General features: G+C 41.1%; 1 long non-coding RNA gene across 6 annotated transcripts in view; it reads left to right on the top strand.

Annotated features, from left to right (window-relative positions):
* Positions 1-12016, top strand: part of LINC01418 (long intergenic non-protein coding RNA 1418) — a 107448-nt gene that overhangs the window by 38420 nt on the left and 57012 nt on the right. For all 6 annotated transcript variants that reach the window (XR_001751640.2, XR_001751639.2, XR_932527.3 and 3 more), the window contains 2 exons: positions 2750-2900; positions 3032-3102. This is a non-coding gene — a long non-coding RNA (long intergenic non-protein coding RNA 1418). The remainder of the gene's footprint in view (positions 1-2749; positions 2901-3031; positions 3103-12016) is intronic.

Genomic DNA, 12016 nt, shown 5'->3' with positions numbered 1-12016 from the left:
CCTCTTTTTTGGCCCTTAACTTTTCCATATAAATTTTAGAATCAACTGTCCAGTTATGAAATGTCTTCTTGGATTTTAATTTTGAATTACACTGAATCTATAGATAGTTTGGGAAGAACCGATATGTACAATATTGAATCTTCCTATCCAGGAATATTGTACATTTCTCCAATCACTTACCCTTTTAAAGTGCCTCTCAGTAAGTATTACAATTTGTCCCTCAAGCCTTACCTACCTTATGCTAGATTTCTTCCTATATTCGATTCTATTCATGTTCTGTATTCTTTTTATTTTTAGCTGCTTCGTAAGTGGTATCTTTTTAGTTTCAATCTTTCTATTTTCCTAGTTTTAGCTGTTTTCTATGAAAAGTGGATAGTTGAATGTTTTCGTCAATAATCTTGGTCTTTATCTTTGGTTATCTTCGACTGCGTGTTCACCATTTCCCTTGAAGTATCGTTTGTGAAGTTCCCTAAGGCTTAGCATGGATGTGCTCTCCTCCAGAGAGGTTTTCATTAATCTACAAAGCATGGAGGCCACCAGAATGCTTATATCTTACTGATGAAGGGAACCTTTAATCACTTATGACTTCATTTATCTTTAGTGATGCGTTCTGTTTTAAAGTCTATTTTGACAATTTTCTTTTGGTTAGCAGTTTCTTCTTTTATTTTCAAATTTTTCTGTGTTTGTATGTTTAAAACGTGTTTTATAAACAACATGCAGCTGATGTTTTTACCCTTATTGACAGTATTTGTCTTCTAACTAGAGAGTTTAGTCCATTTGTATTGTTTGTGATTATTGATGTATGCGTATGTGTAATCATATCACTTTATTATGAATTTACTATGTGTCTGTCTTTCTTTGGCTTCTTTTTATTTCTTTCCTTCTATTACTGTTTCTTTCTTTCTTTTTTTCTGAGACAGAATCTTGCTCTGTCGCCTAGGTAGGAGTGCAGTGGCGCCATCTCCGCTCACTGCAAGCTCCACCTCCCGGGTTCACGCCATTCTCCTGCCTCAGCCTCCAGAGTAGCTGGGACTACAGGCACCCGCCACCTCGCCCAGCTAATTTTTTGTATTTTTAGTAGAGACGGGGTTTCACCTTATTAGCCAGGATGGTCTCGATCTCCTGACCTCGTGATCCACCCGCCTCAGCCTCCCAAAGTGCTGGGATTGCAGGCATGAGCCCCCACGCCCGGCCTCTATTACTATTTCTTAGCCAACAGGTGATCCTTTTGTGATATAAGTCAGATCATGCCGTTCTTCTGTTCAAAATCCATCATTTGTTTCTTATTTTTCTCAGAACAAAAGCTAAAGTTCTTATGGAAGCCCGTATGACCTACATGATCTGGCCCCTTGCTTTTCTTTGACAACTCTTCCCCTTGGTCTGTCTGTTCTAGATATATTGGCCTCCTTGATTTTCTCTGAACACCCAGAACATACTCTTAGTAGAAGAACATTGCACCTGCTGTTTCCTGTACCCATAACTTTCTTCTCCCAGCCATCCTTGTGGCTCCCTGCTCACGTTCTCGGATCTCTGCCCATATGCCACCTTATCATTGAGGATTTCCTGTCCATTCTACATAAAATAGCAACCTTCTGCACTTCTCAACCCCCTCCTTAGTACTCATCACCCTCTGATATATGACATACTTTCTTTGTTTTTTTTTTTATGATGTGTGTGTGTCTTATCTACCAGAATGCAAGATCTATGCATGTAGGTTCTTTGTCTTTGTGGTTCCTAGTGTCTCGCTCCGTCACCCAGGCTGGAGTGCAGTGGCATGATCTCGGCTCACTGCGACCTCTGCCTCCCAGGTTCAAGCGATTCTCCTGCCTCAGCCTCCCAAGTAGCTAGGTCTACAGGCCTACAGGCATGTGCCACTACGCTCTGTTAATTTTTTTGTATTTTTAGTAGAGACATGGTTTCACCATGTTGGTCAGGCTGGTCTCAAACTCCTGACCTCAAATGATCCACCCTCCTCAGCCTCCCAAAGTGCTGGGATTACAGGCATGAGCCACCATGCCCATCCAGATAAATCTCTTTTGATTAAATGTTCAGTCATTCAGATTTTCTTTCTCTTTCCTTGCTTGTCCCCAGATGATTTGGGCCTACAGTAAGAGATTTTAAGACCTGATGGCCCTGGAGAAAGGAGGTCCATCTCAGTCTGTGCAAGTATAGGATCTTATGGTGTCTTCTGTGTCCTTACTGGTTTCCCTGCTGGGTGACTGGTCTTACCCTGTTCCTGGATCCTTGCAGAGTGTCCGCTTAGGTGTGACTAAGTCATGTGGTACTTTGGGATCTTGCATTAGCACCTAATGCTGAAAACTGTGGTCTGGGTCATTTTCCTTTGATCCTGAGGCCCATGTTCTGCAGTCCCTTTGACCCACCTCTAAAGCTATGTATCTATACGCCCTTCCAATCCCTCTGGGGTCTCCTCTGGGACACACGGAACTTCCAGATCCCCTTCACGGTTGGAAAAATCAAAGATCTGCTACCTCTTTCACTCAGAGCTGCCTTCTTATTTCTATGACAGTTTAGATGTGTTTTCAGGCTGAATGTGGAGTTTCTCTAGATCTGCAGCTTTCCTCAAGCTGTGTCCAGGGAAGCAAACCTGGACACAGTATTTTTGAATTCTTCCATAGCCATATAAAGGTTTTGCTCCTCTACCTCTAGGTTTCACTCTAAGCGAAACTGATGAGTGCTCTGGAATCTTCGATTCACCTCTTGTTGCATCTCTCTTTTCCCCACATTCCAGAGGGCCAGAAAGGATGGGCTTTCCCTTTTCCTCGTGGCAGAAACTTCCCTGACTTCATAGCTGGGTTCCCCCTATCCACAGTTTACAGTACAACTATCTCCTCCAAGTTGGCCAGCATTGCCTCTGATACGTGAACAAGAAGTATTTGGAGGTAAGGTCACCCTTCCTCTGGTTTTATTTTTTTAAAGTTTGGCTTTCAAAACCATTGCTCCTCTGTAGAATCCAAGATTATATAAGATTACATTAAGTCTTTTCTTTCTGTTTGCATTCTTTCTATAACAGGGTTAATAAATACAAATCAACACATATACACATGAAGAGAAAATGGATGTAATAACCAAGGACTGCCTGATGTAAGTTCAATTATGTAAAATGTCAGTGTCTGATTTCTATCTGCTCAAACTGATGTTTTAATATATTAAGATTTAATTCCAGCACTTTGGGAGGCTGAGGGGGCGGACCTGAGGTCAGGAGTTCAAGACCAGCCTGACCAATGTGGCAAAACCCCATCTCTACTAAAAAGTACAAAAATTAGCTGGGTGTAGTGGCAGGTGCCACTACTCAGGAGGCTGAGGCAGGGAGAATTGCTTGAACCTAGGAGGCAGAGGTTGCAGTGAGCCAAGATCGCGCCACTGCACTCTGGCCTGGGTGACAGAGTGAGACTCTGTCTCAAAAAAAAAAAAAAAAAAAAAAAAGATTTAATTTACATAATAATTTTAACATAATTAGCATGTTCCTGACAAATAATAAATGTGCTTGATACATACTGGCCGCTGTTTTAATGTTTATAAAATCTCCCCAAATTATGCCATCATTTTGAAGGTGAGACTCTCTTTGCACCCTCATGAGACATTTAACTGCATCCCTTCTGAACTATTGATTGGGATTATTCTCTAACCTTAATTCAATATTAGGTTCCTTGAGAGCAGACACCATGACTTAGGTCTGCTTGTCTTGGTTGGTGCACAGTAGGTCCATTCATTCTGTGTTATTTATGTAGTATATGCCAGGCCCATGCTGAGTACTGGGCACATGAAGTGGAATAAGCATCAGCTCCTGCCAGAGCGAGACAAGTAATGCACTCAAGTATTACAGTTTCTGTGATCAACTGCCAAGGCAGCCAGAAAACATTTCATGGAAAAGTGACCGTAAAGCTGTGCTTTCAAAGATCAGTGGTGTTTGCCAGGTAGACCAAGCATGGAAGGACTTCCCTGGGGCGTGAGGGGAGCTGTGTGGACAAAGCACTGAGGTGTGAGAAGCAAAAAAGCAGTCTCAGGGAACCGCAAGCAGTTCAGTGCAAATGCAGCATGGGTGAAGTCTTGGAGAACAGCAAGAGGTAGGGTTCAAGAACCTGACAGGGGCCAGATCATGGCAGTAGCACTTGAACAGTCTTAGACAGAGAAGGTGCATGATCAGATTTGCCATTATGAAAGTTTTCCTTAGCCTAAAGGTGAATATCAGATTGGAAGGAGTCAAGACTGGAGGAAGGGAGACCACTAAAAGGACTATGAAAACAGTGGAAAACAGAAGAAGAATGTAGAATTATGAGTTTTGGGGCCTGACTGGTTTCTTCTAAAATGCTTGTTTTTCTGCAATGATGATAATAATAATGATTGAGGATCTAGTATGGGTTGGGAATTCTGATTAGGTCTGTATATACAGTTCAACATTTTATCTTACGAGTACTCTATTAGGTAGGGACTATTATTATCTTCATTTATAAATAGGAAAACCAAGGCACTGAGCATTTGAATAAATTACCCAAGGTCACCCAGCTAGTGAGTTGCAGAGCTGGGATCAAACCTAGGTAGCACAGCCCCACAGCTCTTGAACAACACATTCCACAGAGAACAGACCTTGGCAGACTCTGAGAAATGTCCTCTAGCTGCAATGCTTACAGCCAATGAAATTTTTAAAAATTGTGGTAAACACATACAACATAAAAAATGACCATCTTAACCATTTTAAAGTATGCAATTCAGTGTAATTAAGTAGATTCACATTGTTGTGCAACCATCACCACTATCCATGTCTTAAACTCTGCATTTTGCAAAACTTACACTATATACTCATTCAAAAACAGTACCCCATTCCCTGCTCCTCTCTGCCCCTGGCAACCACCGTTCTACTTTCTGTCTCTATGAATTTGACTCTTCTGGGTACCTCATGTAAGTGGAATCCTACAGTATTTGTTTTTTTGTTAGTGGTTTATTTTACTTAGCATCATGTTCTCAAAGTTCATTCATATTGTAGCATGTCAGAATTTTTTTCCTAAGACCGAAAAATATTCCACTGCATGTAAATACCATATTTTGCTTATCTGTTCATTTGTTGGGTTTCTTCCATGTTTTCTCTATTGTAAATAACACTGCTATCAAAGAAATAACTCTTAAGGACTCTGCTTTCAATTCTTTTGGATACACACCCAGAAGTGGAATTGCCAAATCGTATGGAAATTATATATATAATTTTTTTTTTTTAGTTTAATTTTTTTTTTGTGTGACAGTGTCTCTCTGTGTTGCCCAGGCTGGTCTTGAGCTCCTGGGCTTAAGCGATCCTCCTGCCTTGGCCTCCCAAAGTGCTAGGATTATAAGCCTGAGCCACCACATCTGTCCTACATATTTTTTTTTGCTTCTAGTTTCTCTTGTGATTTCTTTTTTGATCAATTGATTGCTTAAGGGTATGTTGATTAATTTCCACAGATTTATGAATTTTCCAGTTTTCCTTTTGTTATTGATTTCTAACTTTATCTTGTGATATAATAAAATATTGTGTATAATACATATATTTTTAGCTTTATTGAGACTCAGTTTGTGGCCTAACATATGGTCTATCTTGGAGAATGTCCATGTGCATTTGAGAAGAATGTACATACTGTTGTTGTTGGGTGGAATTTTTTGTGTATGTCTGTTAAATCCAGTTTGTTCATTGTGTTGTCCAAGTCCTCTATTTCCTTATTTATCTTCTGTCAGGTTGTTCCACCCATTTTTGAGAGTGGGGTGTTGAAGTGTCCAATTATTATTGTAAAATTGTCTGTTTCTCCTTTTAATCCTGTCATTTTTATTTATTTATTTTTTTAGACAGAGTCTTGCTCTGTAGCCCACGCTAGAGTGTGGTGGCATGATCTTGGCTCACTGCAACCTCCACCTTCTGGTTCAAGTGATTCTTGTGTCTCAGACTCCTGAGTAGCTGGGACCACAGGGGTGCACCACCATGCCTGGCTAATTTTTGTATTTTTAGTAGAGGCAGGGTTTCACCATGTTGCCCAGGCTGGTCTCAAACTCCTGACCTCAAGTGATCCAGCTGCCTTGGCCCCCCAAAGTGCTGGCATGAGCCACTGCACCCAACTGATCCTGTCAATTTTTGCTTCATATGTCTTGATGGTCTGTTAGGTGTGTAATTATTTATAGTTACTATATTGTCCTGTTGTGTTGAAACTTTTGTTAATGTATAATGTCCTTCTTTGCCTATTGTAATTTTTTAAAATTTAAAGTCTATTTTGTTGGACATTAGTATAGCCACCCCTGGTCTCTTTTGGTCATTATTTTCATGGAATATCATTTTCTATCCTTTCATTTTCAAACTATTGTGTTTTTTTATTTAAAGTGGATCTTTTGTAAATAGTATATAATTAGATTATGTTTTAAAAATTTATTTTGGCAATCTCTGTCTTTTGATTGGAGAGTTTAATACATTTACATTTAAAGTAATTACTGATATGGAGGGACTTCTGTCATTTTGCTATTTGTTTTCTACATGCATGATACCTTTTTCTGTCCCTCATTTCTTGCTTTAATGTCTCCTTTTGTGCTTAGTTGACTTTTTGTAGTAAAATGTTTTAATTTCCTTATAATTTCCTTTTGTGTATATTCTATAATTATGTTCTTTGTAGCTATCATGGATTACATTTAATATCCTAAAATTAAAACATTCTAATTTGAATTTATACCAACTTCAATAACAGACAAAACATCTGCTTCTTTGTAGTTCCAACCCCATCTTTTCCATTTATTAATGTCACACAATTACATCTTTATGTTATGTGTCCAAAAACATAAATTAATAATTGTTTTTCTGCATTAATCTCTTAAATTATGTAGAAAACAAATGTGGAGTTACAAACCAAAGTTACAATAATACTAGCTTTTAGACTAATAATTACTTTTTAAAAAATGTTTTAGTCCCTTAAATCATGTTAAAAACAAAAAGTAGAGCTATAAACTGTTGTTATACAATAATAGCTTTTCTAACTGCCCATGTTATTTACCTTTGCAGAGATCTTTATTTCTTCATAAGGCTTCAGGTTACTGACGAGTATTCTTTTGTTTCAACCTGTAGGACTTCCTTGAACATTTCTTGCAGGGCAGGTCTAGTGGTAATGAACTCCCTCAGCGTTGTGTGTGTGTGTGCTTTGAATATATCAGCCCACTACCTTCTAGTTTCTGATGAAAGATCTGATGTTAATCTTACTGAGGACCCCTCATATGTGATCATTTCTTCTCTCTGCTTTCAAAACAGAGAAAGGAGAGAGAAGAAATCATCCCTTTGACTTTTGACAGTTTAATTATGCTGTGTCTTTGTGTCAGACTTTTTGAGTTCATCTTATTTGGAGTTCGTTGAGATTCTTGGATATTTATATGCATGTCTTTCATTAAATCTGGGAGGTTTTCAGTCATTATTCCAATAGAGAGAACAATCTCTCTGCCCCATTTCCTCTTTCTTTTTCCCTGGGACTCCTATGATGCATTTGTTGGTCTGCTTTATTGCATTCTACAGGTCCTTTAGGCTCTGTTCACATTTCTTCATGCTTTTTTCTTTCTTTTTCTCAGACTCAATAATTTCAGTTGTCCTATCTTCAATTTCACCGATTTTTACTTCTTCCTTCTCAGATCAGTCTTTGACTCCCTCTAGTGAATTTTTTATTTCAATTATGGTACTTTATAGTTCTATAATTTGTTTTTGGATTTCCTATCTCTTTATTAATAGTTCTGTTTTGTTTGTACAGCATTTTTGGACTTCTACTTTTTTTTTTAGTTCTTTGAGCATCTTGAAGACAGTTGTTTAAATGTCTTTGTCTAGCAGGTCTGTTATCTGTTTCTTCGTTGACATAGTTTCTGTTGGTTTGTTTTTCTCCTTTTAGCAGGCCATACTTTCCTGTTTCTCTGTATGCCTTGTGATTTTGTTGTTGTTGAAAAATTTGAATGTAATAATGTGGTAACTCTGGAAGTCAGATTCTCTGCCTCCCCAAGGGTTTGCTGTTTTTTACTTTTGTTTTGCTTAAAAATGTTTTAGGCTGTCCCTGTGCCAAGAATCAGCCTCAGGTGTAAACGTAACACCCTCTCAGGTCTTTTCTGAGCTGATGCCTTTTCCTGGGCATGTGCAGTAATTTTCTAACTTCTCCTGTTTATGCAACTGATTTTGAATGCCCTAGTCTGTAATGTCTAGCTCCTCAAAGTAGAAAAAGATGAAAATAAAGGGGAAAAAAAAGCACCAACCTTTTCAATCCCCCTGGAAGTCACTTCAGCAAGAGGGGGAGGGATTTGCAACAATGAGGAAGGACTTGAAAAAATGGGGAGGGAGTGCAAAAATGGGGAGGGACCTGCAACAATGTGGAGGGACTTGAAACAATAGAGAGGGACTTGCAACCATGGGGAGGGACTTGCAACCATGGGGAGGGACTTGCAACAATGGGAAGGGACTTGAAACAATGGGGAGGGACTTGTGTAGGGAAAATCTCTCTCAAACCATATTTTTTTTCTGCTCTCACACCACCACAACAATTGTCAACACAGAAGAGGACTTCTGTGTCCAAAGGTGCAGGGTTTTTCCCTTCACACATCAAATAGCGGGCACCAGCTGGGTATCCTCCAATTCAATTCCAACACTATCTACCTGGACATAGCATCAGATCCCAGAGCTTGAGGGCTCAGTCCCCAAGACTGTCCCCTGCCCACCTGACACCAGTCACAAGTCCAGGCCTCCAGAACTTCTGACCCATCAACTTCAACTTGGGGTTCCCAAGACCCTTTCTTTGTGTATTAGTCCATTCTCATGCTGCTATAAAGAACTGCCCCAGACTGGGTAATTTATAAAAGAAATAAGTTTAATTGACTCACAGTTCAGCACGGCTGGGGAGGCCTCAGAAAATTTACAATCATGGCAGAAGGCAAAGGAGAAGCAGTTACCTTCTTCAGAGGGTGGCAGGACAGAGTGAGTGCCAAGTGAAGGGGGAAGCCTCTTATAAAACCATCAGAGCTCATGAGAACACACTCGCTATCATGAGAACAGCATGGGTGCAACAGTCCTCATAATTCAGTTATCTCCACCTGTTCCACCCTTGACACGTGGGGATTATGGGGATTACAATTCAAGATGAGATTTGGGTGGGGACACAGAGCCTAATCATATTCTGCCCCTGGACCCTCCTAAATCTCATGTACTCATATTTCAAAAGCAATCATGCCTCCCCATAAGTCCCCAAAGTCTTAATTCATTCCAGCATTAACCCAAAAGTCCAAGTCCAAAGTCTCATCTGAGACAAGGCAAATCTCTTCTGCCTATGAGCCTGTAAAATTGAAAGTAAGTCAGTTACTTCCTAGACATAATAGGGCTATAGGCATTGGGTAAATACACCCATTCCAATGGGAGAAATTGGCCAAAACAAATGAGTACAGGCCCCATGCAAGTCCAAAATGCAATAGGGCAGTCATTAAACCTTAAAGTTCCAAAATGACTTCCTTTGATTCCATGTCTTAAATCCAGGTCATGCTGATGCAAGAGGTGGGCTCCCACGGCCTTGGGCAGCTCTGCCTCTGTGGCTTTGCAAGGTACAGCCCCCATCCTGGCTGCTTTCATGGGCTGGCATTGAGTGTCTGCAGCCTTTTCAGGTGCCTAGTGCAAGCTGTCTGTGGATCTACCATTATGGGGTCTGGAGGATGGTGGCCCTCTTCTCTCAGCTCCGCTAGGCAGTGCCCTACTGGGGACTCTGTGTAGGGGCTCTGACCCCACATTTCCCTTCTGCACTGCCCTAGCTGAAGTTCTCCATGAGGGCTCCACCCCTGCAGAAAACTTCTGCCTGGACATCCAGGCACTTCCATACATCCTCTGAAATCTAGGCAGAGGTTCCCAAACCTCAATTCTTGACTTCTTTGCACCTGCAGGCCCAACACCACATGTAAGCTACCAAGGCTTGGGGCTTGTACCCTCTGAAGCAACAGCTTGAGCTATAGGTTGGCTTCTTTTAGCCATGGCTGGGACTAAAGCAACTGAGATGCAGGGCCCAGAAACCATTTTTCCCTTCTAGGCCTCTGGTCCTCTGATGGGAGGGGCTGCTGTGAACGTCTCTGACATGTCCTGGAGACATTTTCCCTATTGTCTTGGTGATTAACATTTGGCACCTTGTTACTTATGCAAATTTCTGGAGCAGGCTTGAATTTCTCCCCAGAAAATGCGTATTTCTTTTCTATTGCATCATTAGGCTGCAAACTATCCAAACATTTTTTTTTTTTTTTTGAGATGGAGTCTCACTCTGTCACCCAGGCTGGAGTGCAATGGCATGACCTCAGTTCACTGCAACCTCTGCCTCTTGGGTTTAAGCAATTCTCCCACCTCAGCCTTCCAAGTAGCTGGGGTTATAGGCATGCACCATCATGCCTGACTAATTTTTGTGTTTTTGTAGAGATGGGGTTTCACCATGTTGGCCAGGCTGGTCTTGAACTCCTGACCTCAGGTGATCCACCCGCCTTGGCCTCCCAAACTCCTGGGATTACAGGCATGAGCCACCATGCCCAGCCAAACTTCCCAAACGTTTATGTTCTGCTTCCTCTGAACACTTTGCTGCTTAGAAATTTCTTCTGCCAGAAATCCTAAATCATCTCTCTCAAGTTTAAAGTTCCACAGATCTTTAGGGCAGGGGCAAAATGTCACCAGTCTCTTTGCTAAAGCATAGCAAGAGTTACCTTTGCTCCATTTCCCAAGAAGTTCCTTATCTCCATCTGAGACTACCTCAGCCTGGACTTCATTGTTCATATCACTATCAGCATTTTGGTCAAAACTGTTCAACAAGTCTCTAGGAAGTTCCAAACTTTCCCATATCATTCTGCCTTCTTCTGAGCCCTCCAAACTGTTCCAACCTCAGCCTGTTACACAGTTCCAAAGTCACTTCTACATTTTTGGGTGTCTTTATGGCAGTGCTCCACTACCTTGGTATTAGTCTGTTCTCACATTGCTATAAGGACATACCCAAGACTGGGTAATTTATAAAGAAAAGAGGTTTAATTAACTCTTAGTTCCACATGGCTGGGGAGGCCTCAGGAAACTTACAATCATGGTGGAAGGCGCTTCTACACAAGGCAGCAGGAGAGAGAATGAGTACCAACAGGGGAAATGCCAGATGCTTATAAAACCATCAGATCTCCTGAGAACTCACATCACAAGAACAGCATGGGGGAAACTGCTCCCATGATTCAATTACCTCCCACCAGGTCCCTCCCAAGACACATGGAGATTATTTGGATTACAATTCAAGATGAGATTTGGGTGGGGACACAGCCAAACCATGTCATTTGTGTACCACTAATTTGCTGGAGTGGCTCACAGAACTCAAGGAAACATGTCTAGTGGATTATTATAAGGAATGTTGCAAAGGTTACAGATGAAGAGATGCATAGGGTGAGCTATGGGGAAGTGTCATGGAGCTCCCATGCCCTCCCTGTATGCACCATTCTCCTGGAACCTCCATGGGATTCGGAAGCTCCAGGAACCCAAACCTTTTGGGTTTTATGGAAGCTTCATGATGTCAGCATTCCTTACTCCAGGGTTTGGAGTGGGGACCTCCCTGGGGAAGATCTTAAGACTCACAATCAGAAAGATGGGGAAAGATGAGAGTTTTGCCTTGGGGAAGGTGAAAGGAGGGCAGGAGATTCTATTTTCTGAGACTGAACACATTCAACATTATAACAAAAAACTATCTCGGGTGATGGGAGTTAAAAGCCAGGAACTGTGGATGGAAACCAATTTATATCACAACACTCACCCCCCTACCCCGGCAACAGTTTCTGACAAAAGAGGAATGTAACTGGCTTTGGCTAGTGATGATCCACATCTTGTGGCTGGGCACAAAATGGATGTTCTGTTGTGAGGGATTAAGGATGTGAACCCCAGTTTCCACATCAAATTACATAAGGTATGGTATTGTGATTACCTCATTTTATAAATGAGAAAACTGGTGAGAGGATAAGTCATTTTTCTCAAGGTCACAGTGTTGGT

This window comes from Homo sapiens, chromosome 15 (genome assembly GCF_000001405.40).
Source record: "Homo sapiens chromosome 15, GRCh38.p14 Primary Assembly".
NCBI lineage: Eukaryota > Metazoa > Chordata > Mammalia > Primates > Hominidae > Homo > Homo sapiens.
The sequence above is the reverse complement of the archived record's forward strand: the minus strand, read 5'-3'. Positions and strand labels throughout refer to the sequence as shown.